The sequence below is a fragment of the Homo sapiens genome, chromosome X (assembly GCF_000001405.40).
Source record: "Homo sapiens chromosome X, GRCh38.p14 Primary Assembly".
NCBI lineage: Eukaryota > Metazoa > Chordata > Mammalia > Primates > Hominidae > Homo > Homo sapiens.
In genome coordinates this window covers 499238-519624 of record NC_000023.11, presented here as the reverse complement: position 1 = coordinate 519624, position 20387 = coordinate 499238, and the positions used below count along the sequence as shown (strand labels likewise).

Here is a 20387-nt window from a genome sequence, read left to right as displayed (position 1 = left end):
CTCACCAAGAATTTTTCTAATTTATTTTCTAATAACAGAACGTGGCTGGAAAGTCATCTTCCAAGGTGTTACAAGAATGCATGAGATAGTTCAGTCTTTGTGCCTAAAAAAAAAAAATTATTCAGCTTTTCCAACACCATTGGAGTTTCACCCTCCTGAGCTGCCGGCCATCCAGACTGGGTAGATTTCTCAGGATTCTTGTTCAAAAGTGGCCAGGTGACCCTTCTGAATCCCTCTGTCACCTGCAAATAAGAATCTTTTTTTTTTTTTTTTTTTTTTTTGAGACAGAGTCTCGCACTGTCACCCAGGCTGGAGTGCAGTGGCACGATCTCGGCTCACCGCAAGCTCCGCCTCCCGGGTTCAAGTGATCCTCCTGCCTCAGCCTCCCGAATACCTGGGACTACAGGCGCCCGCCACCACCACGCCCGGCTAATTTTTGTATTTTTAGTAGAGACGGGGTTTCACCGTGTGAGCCAGGATGGTCTCGATCTCCTGACCTCGTGATCCACCCGCCTCAGCCTCCCAAAGTGCTGGGATAACAGGCGTGAGTTCAAGAGCAGCCTGGCCAACATAGTGAAACCCTGTCTCCACTGAAAATACAACAATTAGCCGGGCATGGTGGCGGGCACCTGTAATCTCAGCTACTAATGTAGATGACGGGTGGATGGGTGCAGCCAACCACCGTGGCACGTGTATATACCTATGTAACAAACCTGCACGTTCTGCATATGTATCCCAGAACTTAAAGTAAAATTAAAAAAAAAAAAAAGAAACAAAAACTAATAACATACCAGGGAAAAACGAATAAAGGGAGTGTGGTCCTTTCTCTAAGAGAGTATTACCATGTTACAAAAAACACATGGCACATGTATACATATGTAAGAAACCTGCACGTTGTGCACATGTACCCTAAAACTTAAAATATAATAATAATAAAATTTAAAAAAAATGATCAAGTTTATATTCCAAAAAAAAAAAAAAAGCCTTCTTCTATTTATGGCATTGTAATTCTCCCTTATCTGATATTATTCCTTGTCTCTGGCCAGGATCGTTTGCATAATGGACCATCGTTGAAAAACGCAGGAGAGGAAGACAGATGGGCCCGTCGGCCACAGATATTGTGACTCGCCCGTCCCTGGGGAGGTCCCGGGACTCCGCCATGGAGACAGAAAAATGGAAAAGGGAGAATCAAACTTAAAAAAATACAACGAAACACCAAAGCACCTTATATCGAACAAAATACATTGTTAGAGGTGAACAAAGACAGCAAGATGGAGAAAGCGTACATACATCAAAACTTTAAAAGAGATAAACCCCAAAGAGAGAAACTCATGTTACCTTAGAAGAATAAAATAATATTATACAGGCTGAGGTGGAGGATGGAGGGTTAAGCCCCTTCACCTCCCACCCCAACTGGTCCCTGATGTCAATCACTCACCCACTTATTCATTTATCCATCTTTCAATCCAGCCGCCTACCTGAAATCCAGCATTGGCTGATACAGGACACGACTTAAAGGGAAAAATTCAAGCTGGGAACTGTCTCAGACAACCCTGTCTCCTATTTGACTCCTAAAAAAAAAAGATAGCTACCAGGAGAAAAGAGCCACAGTCTTCCCTCACAATCTATCCACAGAAATTCCTCGTGGACAAGGGACAAGACAGAACTCAAGAGCTGAAAGCATCCCTCTACTCACTGAGATAAATGCATATCTCATGGTCTCCTTTGGAAAGGCTAATTAGAAACTCAACAGGACCGGGCGCGGTGGCTCACGCCTGTCATCCCAGCACTTTGGGAGGCTGAGGTGGGCGGATCATGAGGTCAGGAGTTCAAGACCAGCCTGACGAAGATGGTGAAACCCCGTCTCTACTAAAAATACAAAAACTAGCCAGGCATGGTGGCAGGCACCTGTAGTCCCAGCTACTCGGGAGGCTGAGGCAGGAGAATCACTTGAACCTGGGAGGTGGAGGTTGCAGTGAGCCGAGATCCCACCACTGCACTCCAGCCTGGGTGACAGAGCGAGACGGGCGCAGTGACTCACGCCTGTCATCCCAGCACTTTGGGAGGCCGAGGCGGGCGGATCATGAGGTCAGGAGTTCAAGACCAGCCTGACCAAGATGGTGAAACCCGATCTCTACTAAAAATACAAAGAATAGCCAGGTGTGGGGGCGGGTGCCTGTCATCCCAGCTACTCAGGAGGCTGAGGCAGGAGAATCACTTGAACCCGGGAGGTGGAGGTTGCAGTGAGCCGAGATCCCACCACTGCACTCCAGCCTGGGCAACAGAGCAAGACTCCATCTCAAAAAAAAAATAAAAATAAAAATAAAAATTCTCATTTTCAGGTGACAGAGTGAGACTCATCTCAAAAAAAAAAAAAAAACAAAAAGAAAGAAACTCAACAGAACACAAGTGTTTGTCTCTTGCCTACCTGTGATCTGGAAACCCTCTTCCCGCCTCATATTGTCCTGCTTTTCCAAACCAAACCAACACAGAGCAAGCTGTGCCCTGACCACCTTGGGACACGTCGTCAGAGCCTCCTAAGATGGTGTGACGGACGCTGTCTTCTTAACCTTGGCAGAAGAAACTTCCTGACTTGCTGGAGATCTGTCTCAGATATTTGGGGTTCACAGGCGTCTTATCCCGGGAGGTGACCGTGTATGAGAGATTTAATGAGGGTAGGAAGACACTTCAGAGATACTCTCTTAAATATGTTTTAGGGGCAACCTCACGGACCAGGGGCCATGAGGACAGCAAAGATCCAGCACCCACATGCACAGTATTTTTTCTTACCATCTAGTCCTTTATTTAAAATAATAATGATAATAATAAAAGATTGGCTGAGCCCTGCTCCCGGGTGAAAACACAGACGTAGGAATTGAGATGGTGGATGAGATTATAGGTGTGGATGAAGTCCCTGGGAGAACCTAGAGTGAGAAGGAAAGAGCCAGGAGTAGAATGTAGGACCCTCCAGGAGAGGAGGAGGCGAAGGAGGGCGAGAGGACGGCCAGGAAAGGATTGGGATGCAGTGAGAGGAGGGGGGAGAAGGGAGAGGGAGAGAAGAGAGAGAAAAGAGAGGAATGAAACAGAGAAAGGAAAGAGGAGAGGGGAGAGAGAGAGAAGAGAGAGGGAGAGGAAGAAAGAGAGGGGAGGGACAGAGGCAGACGGAGAGGAAGAGAAGAGAGAAGGGGAGAGAAAAAGAGGAAAAAAACAGAGAGAAGAGAGAAAGAGAGGGGCAGAAACACAGACAGAGAGGGGGAGAGAGACAGGGAGAGGAAGAGGAGAGAGACAGGCACAGAGAGAAAAAAGGAATGAAACAGACAGAAGAGAGACAGAGAGAAAGAGGGGGAGAAACACGGAGACGTGAGAGAGAGAGAGAGAGGAAGAGGAGAGACGGGGAGAGAAAAAAAGAGGAAAAAAACAGAGAGAAGAGAAAGAAAGAGAGAGAAGCGAGGGAAAATGCAGAGAAGAGAAAAAGAGAGAGAGAGAGGCACAGTCCAGTCTGCAGCCCCCACAGAACCTGCAACCTCTGCCCCTGCTAAAAGCCAGAGTGGAGACCCTTCATCTCTTCAGTGGAGGAAGGAGCTCCTGCTCCCACAGGGAAAGGGGATGCAGGGAGAGGGAAGGAGCTCCTGCTCCCACAGGGAAAGGGGATGCAGGGAGAGGGAAGGAGCTCTCACTCCCACAGGGAAAGGGGCTGCAGGGAGAGGGAAGGAGCTCTCACTCCCACAGGGAAAGGGGATGCAGGGAGAGGGAAGGAGCTCTCACTCCCACAGGGAAAGGGGATGCAGGGAGAGGGAAGGAGCTCCTGCTCCCACAGGGAAAGGGGCTGCAGGGAGAGGGAAGGAGCTCTCACTCCCACAGGGAAAGGGGATGCAGGGAGAGGGAAGGAGCTCTCACTCCCACAGGGAAAGGGGATGCAGGGAGAGGGAAGGAGCTCCTGCTCCCACAGGGAAAGGGGCTGCAGGGAGAGGGAAGGAGCTCTCACTCCCACAGGGAAAGGGGATGCAGGGAGAGGGAAGGAGCTCTCACTCCCACAGGGAAAGGGGCTGCAGGGAGAGGGAAGGAGCTCTCACTCCCACAGGGAAAGGGGATGCAGGGAGAGGGAAGGAGCTCTCACTCCCACAGGGAAAGGGGATGCAGGGAGAGGGAAGGAGCTCCTGCTCCCACAGGGAAAGGGGCTGCAGGGAGAGGGAAGGAGCTCTCACTCCCACAGGGAAAGGGGATGCAGGGAGAGGGAAGGAGCTCTCACTCCCACAGGGAAAGGGGATGCAGGGAGAGGGAAGGAGCTCCTGCTCCCACAGGGAAAGGGGCTGCAGGGAGAGGGAAGGAGCTCCTGCTCCCACAGGGAAAGGGGATGCAGGGAGAGGGAAGGAGCTCTCACTCCCACAGGGAAAGGGGCTGCAGGGAGAGGGAAGGAGCTCTCACTCCCACAGGGAAAGGGGATGCAGGGAGAGGGAAGGAGCTCCTGCTCCCACAGGGAAAGGGGCTGCAGGGAGAGGGAAGGAGCTCTCACTCCCACAGGGAAAGGGGATGCAGGGAGAGGGAAGGAGCTCTCACTCCCACAGGGAAAGGGGATGCAGGGAGAGGGAAGGAGCTCCTGCTCCCACAGGGAAAGGGGCTGCAGGGAGAGGGAAGGAGCTCTCACTCCCACAGGGAAAGGGGATGCAGGGAGAGGGAAGGAGCTCTCACTCCCACAGGGAAAGGGGCTGCAGGGAGAGGGAAGGAGCTCTCACTCCCACAGGGAAAGGGGATGCAGGGAGAGGGAAGGAGCTCTCACTCCCACAGGGAAAGGGGCTGCAGGGAGAGGGAAGGAGCTCCTGCTCCCACAGGGAAAGGGGCTGCAGGGAGAGGGAAGGAGCTCTCACTCCCACAGGGAAAGGGGATGCAGGGAGAGGGAAGGAGCTCTCACTCCCACAGGGAAAGGGGATGCAGGGAGAGGGAAGGAGCTCTCACTCCCACAGGGAAAGGGGCTGCAGGGAGAGGGAAGGAGCTCTCACTCCCACAGGGAAAGGGGCTGCAGGGAGAGGGAAGGAGCTCTCACTCCCACAGGGAAAGGGGATGCAGGGAGAGGGAAGGAGCTCTCACTCCCACAGGGAAAGGGGATTCAGGGAGAGGGAAGGAGCTCCTGCTCCCACAGGGAAAGGGGATGCAGGGAGAGGGAAGGAGCTCTCACTCCCACAGGGAAAGGGGATGCAGGGAGAGGGAAGGAGCTCCTGCTCCCACAGGGAAAGGGGCTGCAGGGAGAGGGAAGGAGCTCTCACTCCCACAGGGAAAGGGGATGCAGGGAGAGGGAAGGAGCTCTCACTCCCACAGGGAAAGGGGATGCAGGGAGAGGGAAGGAGCTCTCACTCCCACAGGGAAAGGGGATGCAGGGAGAGGGAAGGAGCTCCTGCTCCCACAGGGAAAGGGGATGCAGGGAGAGGGAAGGAGCTCTCACTCCCACAGGGAAAGGGGATGCAGGGAGAGGGAAGGAGCTCTCACTCCCACAGGGAAAGGGGATGCAGGGAGAGGGAAGGAGCTCTCACTCCCACAGGGAAAGGGGATGCAGGGAGAGGGAAGGAGCTCTCACTCCCACAGGGAAAGGGGATGCAGGGAGAGGGAAGGAGCTCCTGCTCCCACAGGGAAAGGGGATGCAGGGAGAGGGAAGGAGCTCTCACTCCCACAGGGAAAGGGGCTGCAGGGAGAGGGAAGGAGCTCTCACTCCCACAGGGAAAGGGGATGCAGGGAGAGGGAAGGAGCTCTCACTCCCACAGGGAAAGGGGATGCAGGGAGAGGGAAGGAGCTCTCACTCCCACAGGGAAAGGGGCTGCAGGGAGAGGGAAGGAGCTCCTGCTCCCACAGGGAAAGGGGATGCAGGGAGAGGGAAGGAGCTCCTGCTCCCACAGGGAAAGGGGCTGCAGGGAGAGGGAAGGAGCTCTCACTCCCACAGGGAAAGGGGATGCAGGGAGAGGGAAGGAGCTCTCACTCCCACAGGGAAAGGGGATGCAGGGAGAGGGAAGGAGCTCCTGCTCCCACAGGGAAAGGGGATGCAGGGAGAGGGAAGGAGCTCCTGCTCCCACAGGGAAAGGGGATGCAGGGAGAGGGAAGGAGCTCCTGCTCCCACAGGGAAAGGGGCTGCAGGGAGAGGGAAGGAGCTCTCACTCCCACAGGGAAAGGGGATGCAGGGAGAGGGAAGGAGCTCCTGCTCCCACAGGGAAAGGGGATGCAGGGAGAGGGAAGGAGCTCCTGCTCCCACAGGGAAAGGGGATGCAGGGAGAGGGAAGGAGCTCTCACTCCCACAGGGAAAGGGGATGCAGGGAGAGGGAAGGAGCTCTCACTCCCACAGGGAAAGGGGATGCAGGGAGAGGGAAGGAGCTCTCACTCCCACAGGGAAAGGGGATGCAGGGAGAGGGAAGGAGCTCTCACTCCCACAGGGAAAGGGGATGCAGGGAGAGGGAAGGAGCTCCTGCTCCCACAGGGAAAGGGGATGCAGGGAGAGGGAAGGAGCTCTCACTCCCACAGGGAAAGGGGATGCAGGGAGAGGGAAGGAGCTCTCACTCCCACAGGGAAAGGGGATGCAGGGAGAGGGAAGGAGCTCCTGCTCCCACAGGGAAAGGGGATGCAGGGAGAGGGAAGGAGCTCTCACTCCCACAGGGAAAGGGGATGCAGGGAGAGGGAAGGAGCTCTCACTCCCACAGGGAAAGGGGCTGCAGGGAGAGGGAAGGAGCTCTCACTCCCACAGGGAAAGGGGATGCAGGCAGAGGGAAGGAGCTCCTGCTCCCACAGGGAAAGGGGCTGCAGGGAGAGGGAAGGAGCTCTCACTCCCACAGGGAAAGGGGATGCAGGGAGAGGGAAGGAGCTCCTGCTCCCACAGGGAAAGGGGATGCAGGGAGAGGGAAGGAGCTCTCACTCCCACAGGGAAAGGGGATGCAGGGAGAGGGAAGGAGCTCTCACTCCCACAGGGAAAGGGGATGCAGGGAGAGGGAAGGAGCTCTCACTCCCACAGGGAAAGGGGATGCAGGGAGAGGGAAGGAGCTCCTGCTCCCACAGGGAAAGGGGCTGCAGGGAGAGGGAAGGAGCTCCTGCTCCCACAGGGAAAGGGGATGCAGGGAGAGGGAAGGAGCTCCTGCTCCCACAGGGAAAGGGGATGCAGGGAGAGGGAAGGAGCTCTCACTCCCACAGGGAAAGGGGCTGCAGGGAGAGGGAAGGAGCTCTCACTCCCACAGGGAAAGGGGCTGCAGGGAGAGGGAAGGAGCTCCTGCTCCCACAGGGAAAGGGGATGCAGGGAGAGGGAAGGAGCTCCTGCTCCCACAGGGAAAGGGGCTGCAGGGAGAGGGAAGGAGCTCCTGCTCCCACAGGGAAAGGGGATGCAGGGAGAGGGAAGGAGCTCCTGCTCCCACAGGGAAAGGGGATGCAGGGAGAGGGAAGGAGCTCTCACTCCCACAGGGAAAGGGGATGCAGGGAGAGGGAAGGAGCTCTCACTCCCACAGGGAAAGGGGATGCAGGGAGAGGGAAGGAGCTCTCACTCCCACAGGGAAAGGGGATGCAGGGAGAGGGAAGGAGCTCCTGCTCCCACAGGGAAAGGGGCTGCAGGGAGAGGGAAGGAGCTCCTGCTCCCACAGGGAAAGGGGTTGCAGGGAGAGGGGCCACAGGTGGTCTCTTATCTCTCTTACCCCAGCCGGCTGGGGCTGCGGCTATCCCAGAACAGAACACAGGGGCTAACTTAGAAACCGCAGACATTTACCGCTCAGAGCTCTGGAGGCTGGAAGACAAAGATCCAGGTGTGGTGGGTTCTGTGTGTATGGAAAGGCCTCCTGCTTCATAGACAGCGCCTTCTCTCTGTGCCCTCACGTGGTGGAAGGGGCCTCCCCGGCGACCCTTTTATAAGGGCAGTCATCCCAGCCATGAGCCTCCAACCCTATGACCTCCTCACCTCCCAAAGACCCCACCTCCCAATATCATCAACTTTGGAGAGAGGATTTCTTTCCTTTTTTTTTTTTTTATTATACTTTAAGTTCTGGGGTACATGTGCAGAACGTGCAGGTTGGTTACATAGGTATACACGTGCCATGGTGGTTTTCTGCACCCATCAACCCGTCGTCTACATTAGGTGTTTCTCCTAATGCTCTCCCTCACCTTCCCCCAACCCCCTGACAGGCCCTGGTGTGTGATGTTCCCCTTCCTGTGTCCATGTGTTCTCATTGTTCAGCTCCCACTTATGGGTGAGAACATGCGGTGTTTGGTTTTCTGTTCCTGTGTGAATTTGCTGAGAATGATGGTTTCCAGCTTCATCCATGTCCCTGCAAAGGACATGAACTCATCCTTTTTCATGGCTGCATAGTATTCCATGGTGTGTATGTGCCACATTTTCTTCATCCAGTCTGTCATTGATGCGCATTTGGATTGGTTCCAAGTCTTTGCTATTGTGAACAGTGCCGCAAAAACATACGTGCACATGTGTCTTTATAGGAGAATGATTTACAATCCTTTGGGTATATACCCAGTAATGAAATTGCTGGGTCAAATGATATTTCTGGTTGTAGATCCTTGAGGAATCACCACACTGTCTTCCACAATGGTTGAACTAAGGATGGGGAGACAATTTCAACACAGGAATTTGGGTAACACAGACATTCAGGCCACAGCTGAGCACGGGACAAGCATCACTGCTGAGCTGGCCGCCCCGTGGACACCACCTACCTGCACGCCCGCTTGCCTGTCAAAGATCAAATGCCAAGGACGGTCAAAAAACCCAACGTTTATCAAGCTCTCTCTGGGTGCCACGTCCTTCTGCGCAACTGGGCTTATTAAGACACAGATAGAAACAGCGTTCGTTGGAATCTGAACACTGAGATACTGTAAATATCCTGCCAAAAGGAAGGAATCTCTGAAAACATTGTCATGACAATCATATTAACAGATATTTCATCTTCTCCGCCTTGGGTAGGGCTTTGCAAGGTCTTTGTAGAGAATTTCCGTTCAAGCCTCCGAGAATCCTCAAGGGCCCTCTGCCTCCGGAAGGATTTGAAGGTCTTGGTGGAGACAGCGTTGAAGAAATATCATTAAAAGCAAAATCTGCCAACCCCGGGGACCTCACCACGAAGGTAAAAGAGAAAAGAAAATGATTTTATTGTGGAACCAGCATCAAACCAGAATGCCAAGCCTATCACAAGCAATTCACTAAAGAGGTTGTAATGACACGAAGCAATCTCACCCTTCGCTAGATGTAAGTGTGTACAGCCCATTGCCTTAGCTGGCTTTTGCAATCTCGAGTCAGGTGACAACTTAGACCCTTCTCGTCCGCAGACACTGGAGCTAGGGGCGTTTTCCTCCTTCATGATCTCATTTGAAAAGAGGTGGCTCCCAGGTCCTTGGGGAAACGTTCCTGGGTTATGAGACAGGCAAGTGGATTATTTAGACTTGAAAAAGATTTATACCCCTTTGCCGGGCGCGGTGGCTCACGCCTGTCATCCCAGCACTTTGGGAGGCCGAGGCGGGCGGATCACGAGGTCAAGAGATGGAGACTATACTGGCTAACACGGTGAAACCCCGTCTCTACTAAAAATACAAAAAAAATTAGCCGGGCGTGGTGGCGGGCGCCTGTAGTCCCAGCTACTTGGGAGGCTGAGGCAGGAGAAAGGCGTGAACCCGGGAGGTGGAGCTTGCAGTGAGCCTTGTCACGCCACTGCACTCCAGCCTGGGCGACAGAGCGAGATTCCATCTCAAAAAAAAAAAAAAAAAAAAAAAAGAGCAAGCACATACATGGGACACTGTTTATCTTTGAAAGAGGAGGCTGAGGTTATTCTGTCTGATTATGTCCAGTGTCTCCTTTTTATTCTTTTTTTTGCATAAATAAAATACGTTAATTATAGAATTAGAAAAGAATACACTTTGAGAAGGGAGAATGCTGTTGATGGAAAGAAAAGGGTCATGGTAAAACACTATCTCTACTAAAAATACAAAATTAGCCGGGTGTGGTGGTGCATGCCTGTAATCCCAGCTACTCGGTGGGCTGAGGCAGGAGAATTGCTTCAACCCAGGAGGCGGAGGTTGCAGTGAGCTGAGATTGTGCCATTAAACTCCAGCCTGGGCAACAGAGCGAGACTCCATCTCAAATAATAATAAGAAGAAGAAGATATCTTGGTCCTAATATCTAAACATATCAAAAAGTTGGCCAAACAAACATGTGAAAAAAAAGCTCATCATCACTGGTCATCAGAGAAATGCAAATCAAAACCACAATGAGATACCACCTCACACCAGTTAGAAGGGCGATCATTAAAAAGTCAGGAAACAACAGGTGCTGGAGAGGATGTGGAGAAATAGGAACACTTTTACACTGTTGGTGGGACTGTAAACTAGTTCAACCATTATGGAAGACAGTGTGGCGATTCCTCAGGGATCTAGAACCAGAAATACCATTTGACCCAGCCATCCCATCACTGGGTATATACCCAAAGGATTATAAATCATCCTGCTATAAAGACACATGCACACGTATGTTTATTGCGGCACTATTCACAACAGCAAAGATTTGGAACCAACCCAAATGCCCATCAATAATAGACTGGAGAAAGAAAACGTGGCACAGAGACACCATGGAATACTATGCAGCCATCAAAAAGGAGGAGTTCATGTCCTTTGCAGGGACATGGATGAAGCTGGAAACCATCATTCTCAGCAAACTAACACAGAAACAGAAAACCAAACACCGCATGTTGTCACTCATAAGTGGGAGTCGAACAATGAGAACACATGGACACAGGGAGGGGAACATCACACACCAGGGCCTGTCAGGGGGTGGGGGGATAGGGGAGGGAGAGCATTAGGAAAAATACCTAATGTAGATGATGGGTTGATGGGTGCAGAAAACCACCATGGCATGTGTATACGTATGTAACAAACCTGCCCGTTCTGCACACATACCCCAGAACTTAAAGTAAAATAAAACAAACACACAAACAAAAACTGAAAAAAAGAAAGTTGGCCAAAATATATGAACAGGACTTGGACGCTGGCTCATTTCTACGTTGGTATCTTAAGTAGTGATATTTTGTAAAAATCTGACCCAGACACGCTACTGTCTCTCTCTCTCTCTCTTTCTCTCTAATCCAAAATCATCTTTGGAAAGAAACACAACTCTTGTAAAAAATAAAACACGAGGCACCTGACTCACAAGACGGCAGCCTCAAGTTACACCACAAGTAACCGAGGTCCTTTCTGTTCACCACCACGTGGCCTCAAGGTTGCAAGGAGGCTGCTGCTGATCCGGGCATCACAGCCACACTCAGAGACAGGAGCGGAGTAGAGGTGGAGGGGCCGTGCTAGCCACACCTCCTCTTGTATATTTACCTTCCGTTCCATTGGCTGAGATTGGACCCCAGGGCCACCCCTAGGTAAAGAGAAGCAAAAGGTTGTCTTTGGCAGGTAATTCAACTGCTGGTTGTTCACACAACACCTCTTTTCAAAATTGGTTTTATAGCCCGAGTGGTGGCTCATGCCTGTCATCCCAACACTTTGGGAGGCTGAGGCAGGCAGATCACTTGAGGTCAGGAGTTCAAAACCAGCTTCAGCAACAAGGCAAGACTGTCTCTAAAAAAAATAAATAAATAAAACAAAAAAATTGCCAGGCATGGTGGTGCACACCTGTGGTCCCAGCTACTCTGGAGGCTGAGGTGGGAGGATCACTTGAGCCCAGGAGTTCGAAGTTCCAACGAGCCATGATTGCACCACTGTGCTCCAGCGTGGGCAGCGGAGTGAGACCGTGTCTTGCAAAAAAACCCAAAAAACAAAAACAACAGTTTTCTATGACTAGAGGGAAGTCACTCAGTTGTAGCATCATTTCCGAAGGTCCCTCCTTCTCTGAGCTTGGAATAACCGGGAAAATTGGATAAGGTTAGAGAAAACAAGGGGAGTAATGACCTAGTTCCCAACAGACCATCGGCTCCAAGCTCTTCCTATGTTGAGTATTAGAGTTTTGGAGTAAGTTCCATGGATGAGGTGGCTTCCATTTCCTAATCAACCTCAGAGAAAACAAATCATGTGTAAAGGTTGCCGACATTCCCAGTTAAACACAGAAGGAGGGGACCTTTTAGCCTCCGTAGCTGTTGCTTTTTTTTTTTTCTTTTTTTGAGACAGAGTCTCGCTCTGTCACCCAGGCTGGAGTGCAATGGCGTGATCTCGGCTCACTGCAACCTCCACCTCCCAGGTTCAAACAATCCTCTCCCTCAGCCTCCCGAGTAGCTGGGATTACAGATGCCTGCCACCACGCCTGGTTAATTTTTTGGTATTTTTAGTAGAGACAGGGTTTCACCATCTTGGCCAGGCTGGTCTTGAACTCCTGACCTCCTGATCCACCTGCCTCGGCCTCCCAAAGTGCTGGGATTATAGCCATGAGCCACCCCACCTGGCCCCTGCAATATATATATATGTATTTTTTTTTTTTTGGTGGCATATTCTGAAGCTCTTCAGGGTCTCCCAGGCTAATTCTTGAGACAGTCACCATTTTCCCTCCAGTGGAAACTCGGAGCTTCACCGGGAAATCGTTCATTTCAATCAGGATGTAGGGGACCTCACCCCATAGAACCATCACGCTATTAGGGCAGGAAAAGCAAAAAACTGTAAAAAAGCTGACACGTTTGTTTTTTTAATACAGGACGTAACTTAATTAATTAACTCTAAAATCCAGCATATAAAGTAGATCACTGGCCACTAGAAGAAGAGTAATTGATTTTTTTTTCTACCCAATACAGTTGCATAATTTATTCTTATTATTCATTTATATGGCATCTCTCTTTTGAGAAGTGCATAATGGTTTTGCAACTTTGGTGTCTTATTAAACATTCATCATCGCCCTCAGAGGACGGCAAGAGGCAAATATTATTACATTATCCAACAATTTCTCCATGAAAACCTATAATTGGAATGAAAAGCCATTTCAAGGAATGAAATAATGCCAGTGAAAGGTAACGCTGAGATAATTGAATGATCGGCTTTTCTGATATTCAGCACAAAAGAGCCGTAAATTGACTCTCTTGTCCAGCCCAGGTACCACATTGCTAACGGTGACATGACCACAGACCCCAGGAATGCAGCTTCCTACGGGTGGGTGTCTGCCCCTTGGGGCAAAGGATCGGGAGGGAGTCACTTCCTGCTGCGTTCTGCCTGCTTTTGGCAAGGTTGAGAGAGAGAGAGAGTGAAATATGTGTGGGAGCACGGATATTGATAATCCAGTTGGATGATAGATAGATGGATAGATAGATAATAGACAGATACATACATACATAGATAGATGGATAGATAGATGATAGATAGATATAATACATAGATACATAGATGAGAGATGATAGATATAATAGATGATAGATAAGATAGATGATAGATATAATAGATACATAGATGATAGATATAAATAGATATAATAGATAGATAATAGATGCAATAGATAGATGATAGATAAGATAGATAATAGATATAATAAATACATGATAAGATAGATGATACATACATACATAGATACATAGATAAATATAATAGATACATAGAATATAGATACATAGATATAATAGATACAAAGAATAAATAGATATAGATAAATAGATAAAATAGATACATAGAATACATAAATAGATATGGATACATAGATATAATAGATACATAGAATAGATATAGATAAATAGATACATAGAATACATAAATAGATATACATAGATATAATAGATACATAGAATAAATAGATATAGATACATACATAAAATAGATACATAGAATACATAAATAGATATAGATACATAGATATAATAGATACATACAATAGATATAGATACATAGATAAAATAGATACATAGAATACATAAATAGATATAGATACATAGATATAATAGATACATACAATAGATATAGATAAATAGATAAAATAGATACATAGAATACATAAATAGATATGGATACATAGATATAATAGATACATAGAATAGATATAGATAAATAGATACATAGAATACATAAATAGATATAGATACACAGATATAATAGATACATAGAATAAATATAGATACATAGATAAAATAGATACATAGAATACATAAATAGATATAGATACATAGATATAATAGATACATACAATAGATATAGATAAATAGATAAAATAGATACATAGAATACATAAATAGATATAGATACATAGATATAATAGATACATACAATAGATATAGATAAATAGATAAAATAGATACATAGAATACATAAATAGATATGGATACATAGATATAATAGATACATAGAATAGATATAGATAAATAGATACATAGAATACATAAATAGATATAGATACACAGATATAATAGATACATAGAATAAATAGATATAGATACATAGATAAAATAGATACATAGAATACATAAATAGATATAGATACATAGATATAATAGATACATACAATAGATATAGATAAATAGATAAAATAGATACATAGAATACATAAATAGATATAGATACATAGATATAATAGATACATCGATAGGTAAGATATATAGATAGATTAATAGATAGAGAAAGAGAGAGAGATGATAGCTGATCATCTCTCTTCTAGGTCTATATGGGCTACATTCACGGCGCCCCTTTCCCTGTGGGAAAGAAAAAGAAAGAAAGAGAGAAAGAAGAAAAGAAAGAAATGAAGGAAGGAAGGAGGGAAGGAAGGAAGGACAGGAAGGAAGGAAGGAAGAAGGGAAGGAGGGAAGGACAGGAAGGAGGGAGGCAGGCAAGAAAGGGAATACTTTTTGCTGTTGTTGACCAAATGATTACCTTTAGAAATCCTTAAATGATGAGTTTAATTTCAAATGCTGAAGTGGTTACAAACAGGCTTTTCTCACCACCATTTATGAGCTATTGAAACAGTCGCTTGATTCTCAACTGTGTTTGTTGTGAGACGTGTGTGGTAGCACCCAAAACCAGTCCAGTTTTTCAACTATGGAAGTGTAGGTTTGTTTTTTTTGGTTTTGTTTTGTTTTTAAGAGGCCAAGACACATAGATTTAGCGTTAACTTCTGAAAAAAAAGTGCAAGAAGCATGAACATCTCTTTCTGTACATTAGAAATGTGTCTCAGAATGCAATATATTGGATAAAAAGGGGAAAAACACCACAGAGAGGTGACATAATCTCACGGTGGCCCCTGGGCTTTGTTTAAAGAAAATAAATCAGTCTGGGAGTGGTGGCTCACGCCTGTCATCCCAGCACTTTGGGGAGGCTGAGGCAGGTGAATCACCTGAGGTCAGGAGTTCGAGACCAGCCTGGCCAACATGGAGAAACCCCATCTCTAGTAAAAATACAAAAATTAGCCGGGCGTGGTGGTGGGCACCTGTAGTCCCAGGTACTCGGGAGACTGAGGCAGGAGAATGGTGTGAACCCAGGAGGCGGAGGTTGCAGTGAGCCGAGACCACAGCACTGCACTCCAGCCTGGGTGACGAGGGCGCAACTCCATGTCAACAAAAAGAACAGAATTCGGCCGGGCACGGTGTTTCATGCCTGTAATTACAGCACTTTGGGAGGCCAAGGCAGGTGGATCACCTGAGGTCAGGAGATCGAGACCATCCTGGCCAACATGGTGAAACCCTATCTCAACTAAAAATACAAAAATTAGCCGGGCGTGGCGGAGGGCACCTGTCATCCCAGCTACTCGGGAGGCTGAGGCAGGAGAATCGCTTGAACCCAGGAGGCGGAGGTTGCAATGAGCTGAGATCGAGCCACTGCACTCCAGCCTGGGTGACAAGAGCGAGACTCCATCTCAAAAAAAAAAAAAAAAGAACAGAAGTCAGATGTCCTCAGGAACCCTGATGTTATCCTAGGGGGATATCCTAAGAAGTATCAAGACCCCATAGCCACCAGCAGCAAGCACAGCAGTGGCCAAACTTTGAAATTCTTTTCTATGTATAAGCAAGTCTATTAAAAAATAAACGCAGAACAGACAAATTCGTTGAGACAGAAAGGAGCTTTGTGACTGCCAGGGGCTGAGAGAGAGGGATTGGGGCTGTGACTGTTTGATAGGTTTCCTTCTGGAAAATTCTATTCCTAGAATATTTTGCTCCCCCAGAAGGAACCCTATGAAACAGACACACCCCCAATCCCTCTCATTGTAAATGTACAGCAACATTGTAAATGCACACACACGTCCCTGAACTGTTCACTTTTGAAAGGATTGCTTGCGTGCCATGCAAACTTAATCTCAGTTTTAAAAAATTGAGAAGCTGGGTGTGGTAGCTCACGCCTGTAATCCCAGCGCTTTGGGAGGCCAAGGAGGGCGGATCACGAGGTCAAGAGATCGAGACCATCCTGGCCAACACGGTGAAACCCCGTCTGTACCAAAAATACAAAAAATTAGCCGGGCTTCGTGGTGGGCGCCCCTTCGTCCGGCCTGAAGTCTCTTTTATAAGGGATGAATCCCATTCATGAGGATCCAACCCTCCTGACCACCACGCGCCTCGGCCTCCCAAAGTGCTGGGATTACAGGCGTGAGCCACCGCGCCCGGCCAGATGTCCACATCTTAATTCATCGTAAGTTCCTTCAAATCAACCGTTGTTGAGGCAGAAATCAACTGGCTCTTGGGGCTCATGATGTGGGGGTGACCTACCACATTTGTGTGTGTGTGTGTTTAGTGTGGTGTCTGTCCTGTGCAGAGTGTGTGTGTTTAGCGACGTCTGCGTCTGTTGCGTGTAATTGTAGATTATGTGTTATGTGTGTGTATTCAGTGTGACGTCTGTCCTGTGCAGAGTGTATGTGTTTAGTGTGGTTTGTGTGTGTTGTGTGTAGTGTGTATTTTCTGTGTTGTAAGTGTGTGGTGTCTGGTATCTGTATTGTGCATAGTGTGTGTTTAGTGTGGTTTGCATGTGTTGTGTGCAATGTGTATTTTGTGGGTGCAGTGTGTGTTTAGTGTGGTTTGTGTTGTGTGTAGTATGTATTTGTGTGTTTTGTGTGTGTATTGTGTGGCATCTGTGTTGTGCATAACGTCTGTGTTTAGTGTTGTGTATATGTAGTAGGTATTTTGTGTGTTGCATGTGTGTGTTTTATGTGGCATCTGTTTTGCGCACAGAATATGTGTTTAGTGTGGTTTGTGTGTATTTTGTGTGTTGTATGTGTGTGTGTTGTGTGGCATCTGTTGTGCACAGTGTATGTGTTTACTGTGGTTTGTGTGTGTTGTGTGTAGTGTGTATTTTGTGTGTTGTAAGTGTCTGTTGTCTGGTATCTGTATTGTGCATAGTGTGTGTTTACTGTGGTTTGTGTGTGTTGTGTGTAGTGTGTATTTTGTGTGTTGGGTGTGTGCGTGTTGTGTGGCATCTGTGTTGTGCATATGTGTTTAGTGTGGTTTGTGTGTGCTGTGTGTAGTGTGTATTTTGTGTGTTATATGTGTGTGTGTGGTGTGGCATCTGTGTTGTGCATAGTGTGTGTGGTTTGTGAGGCCAGTCTGTGTTTTTCTATGTATTTTGTGTGTCATATGTATTTTGTGTATATGTGTATTTAGTGTGGTGTTTGTACTGTGCAGAGTGTGTGTGTTTAGTGTGGTTTGTGTGGTTTGTGTGTAGTGTGCATTTGTGTGTGCAGTGTGTGGTTTGTGCTGTGTTGTGTATAGTATGTATTTGCGTGTTTTATGTGTGTGTGTTCTGTGGCATCTGTGTTGTGCATATGTGTTTAGTGTGGTTTGTGTGTGTTGTGTATATTTTGTGTGTTCTATGTGTGTGTGTTGTGTGGCATCTTTGTTGTGCATAGCATATGTGTTTAGTGTGGTTTGTGTGTGCTGTGTGTAGTGTGTATTCTGTGTGTTGTGTGCAGTAGGTGTTTTGTGTGTAGTGTGTATTTTATGTGTTGTGTGTGTGTGGTGTGGCATCTGTGTTGTGCATAGTGTATGTGTTTACTGTGGTTTGTGTGTGTTGGGACTGGGACCTAATGGCTGTCTACACAGCAGGCTCCTATGCAGCTCCATCCTGGGACTGGGACCTAATGGCCGTCTATGCAGCAGACTAGGATGTACCTGCATCCTGGGACCTAATGGCCGTCTACACAGCAGGCTTGACTCCAGCTCCATCCTGGGACTGGGACCTAATGGCTGTCTACACAGCAGGCTCGACTCCAGCTCCATCCTGGGACTGGGACCTAATGGCTGTCTACACAGCAGGCTCCTATGCAGCTCTATCCTGGGACTAGGACCTAATGGTCATCTACGCAGCAGACTCAAATCCAGCTCCATCCTGGGACCTAATGGCCATCTATGCAGCAGACTTGGATCCACCTGCGTCCCGGGACCTAATGGCCGTCTATGCAGCAGACTTGAATCCAGCTCCGTCTCAGGACCTAATGGATGTCTACACAGCAGGCTCGAATCCAGCTCCGTCCTGGGACCTCATGGCCATCTATGCAGCAGACTCAAATCCAGCTCCGTCCCGGGACCTAATGGCTGTCTACACAGCAGGCTCGAATCCAACTCCATCCCAGGACCTAATGGCTGTCTACACAGCAGGCTCGAATCCAGCTCCATCCCGGGACCTAATGGCCATCTATGCAGCAGACTCGAATCCAGCTCTGTCCCGGGACCTAATGGCTGTCTACACAGCAGGCTCGAATCCAGCTCCATCCCGGGACATAATGGCCGTCTATGCAGCAGACTCGAATCCAGCTCTGTCCCAGGACCTAATGGCTGTCTACACAGCAGGCTCGAATCCAACTCCATCCCAGGACCTAATGGCTGTCTACACAGCAGGCTCGAATCCAGCTCCGTCCCGGGACCTAATGGCCGTCTATGCAGCAGACTCGAATCCAGCTCCGTCCCAGGACCTAATGGGTGTCTACACAGCAGGCTCGAATCCAGCTCCATCCTGGGACCTGATGGCCGTCTATGCAGCAGGGTTGGCCGCCCACCCCGAGTTTATTCAGCTGCGGCCGCGCCGTCATGCCGTGGAGACTGTCGGCTTTTTCCGGGATCTTTTTTATCATTGCCTTTGCAAAGGTTCCGTCGAGTTTTATGCTGAGCTATGAAATTAGACCGATCGATTTTCTTCCTGCGTACAGAGGCAGAGGGGGAGCGACCTGGCTTTATGAAGTTGTAACGAACTGAATACCGAGGCTTGGCTCTGATCTCGTCTGCAGCAGTGGACGACTAATCCGTGTCCACACTCCACCGAGGATCTGAACAGTCCTGGGCAGGAGGAGGAATCTTCAGACTCGACCCCATCCAGAGGGACGGGGGTTCGAGGCCTGGCTGGTCCCGTCCTGCACTCCCCGGACGCTCCGGCCGTAGGATTTGCAGCTGATTTTAATTGCTTGTCGCCTCTGCTGGCTCACGATGGCTCCGGGAACCCAGCACAGAGACGTAGCACAATGCCAGGCCTGATTTTAATTTCTCGTCGCCTGTGCTGGCTCAGATGGCTCCGGGAACCCAGCACAGAGACAGGCCGGCTCGCAGAAGAGATGCTTCCCGGGAGCGTCTGGGAGGGAGCCTGGCTCTGGCAAGCCGGGGAGGGCTTTGGGGACCGGATTTGCGCTGGGGATGGCCATTCTGCCTGGGATTAACAGGATTAAAAAGCATTAAATGAGCGTCCTCCAACTCCCCACAGCAGACTTGCTTTCCGAAAGGATCCTCCTAGAGGCTCTGAGCACCCGGGGTGACCACAGAAAATAAAGGTTCCCCTTTAGCATGACAAAGGAGGGCTGCACGCATCCAGGGGTACAAATGCTCTGCCATATCCTCAATCCCATTGTTCCCCGCTCCGACACGGGGCCCCCTTCCTCCCCTTTCCCTTTCCCTTTTTTGTTTTTTTTTTTTTTAATTTCTCCGTGCAGAGCTCAAGGTGTCATATTAATTATTTAAATCTCGGGAAGATTTCAGCAGTGATCCACCAAAGGCCCTCTTCGGAGCCAGAAGGCCTTGGCTCTGTGTTAGTTTTTCTTAATTAGAGCTGAAATGAGAACTTTGATCTCCGGGCACAGAATGGCCAAAGAGGAGGCGGGGAAACTTCCCATGCGATTTTTTTTTTTTTTTTTTTTTTTAGTTTTTTTCTTTTCTGCCATACCTATCGTCTGTCTGGGCTGTTACTGTATGACACTTTGATCCACCTCGTTCTGGGGAAACAATTCAAGTACAAGAGGAACTTAAACAACTCAAAGGGCCGGCCGGGATGAGAGCCCAGTGGTTCGTCTGTCGGTCACCGCCTGCCAACACAGTTTTGTTATTTATTTTGGCCGTCTACACAGCAGGCTCAGATGCAGCCACATCCTGGGACCTAATGGCTGTCTACACAGCAGGGTCCAATGCAGCTCCGTCCCAGGATCTAATGGCCATCTATGCAGCAGACTCAGATGCAGCTGCATCCCGGGACCTAATGGCTGTCTACACAGCAGGGTCCAATGCAGCTCCATCCCAGGA

At 48.6% G+C, this 20387-nt stretch overlaps 5 annotated features.

Annotated features, from left to right (window-relative positions):
• Positions 18715–19281: an enhancer, noted in NCBI's record as "H3K27ac-H3K4me1 hESC enhancer chrX:461079-461645 (GRCh37/hg19 assembly coordinates)". NCBI's record gives its function as "activates a minimal SCP1, AML or CMV promoter by ChIP-STARR-seq in primed H9 embryonic stem cells {active_cell/tissue: H9 hESC(primed)}" and the evidence as "EXISTENCE:reporter gene assay evidence [ECO:0000049][PMID:30033119]".
• Positions 19282–19849: an enhancer, noted in NCBI's record as "H3K27ac-H3K4me1 hESC enhancer chrX:460511-461078 (GRCh37/hg19 assembly coordinates)". NCBI's record gives its function as "activates a minimal SCP1, AML or CMV promoter by ChIP-STARR-seq in primed H9 embryonic stem cells {active_cell/tissue: H9 hESC(primed)}" and the evidence as "EXISTENCE:reporter gene assay evidence [ECO:0000049][PMID:30033119]".
• Positions 19282–20081: a biological region, named in NCBI's record as "CNE-3 enhancer upstream of SHOX". NCBI's record gives its function as "regulatory_interactions: SHOX".
• Positions 19696–20080: an enhancer, noted in NCBI's record as "CNE-3 PCR-amplified reporter construct fragment". NCBI's record gives its function as "activates a beta-globin promoter by in ovo reporter assays in chicken limb buds {active_cell/tissue: limb bud}" and the evidence as "EXISTENCE:reporter gene assay evidence [ECO:0000049][PMID:19997128]".
• Positions 19696–20081: an enhancer, noted in NCBI's record as "CNE-3 PCR-amplified reporter construct fragment". NCBI's record gives its function as "activates a SHOX promoter by reporter assays in human U2OS osteosarcoma cells {active_cell/tissue: U2OS}" and the evidence as "EXISTENCE:reporter gene assay evidence [ECO:0000049][PMID:26631348]".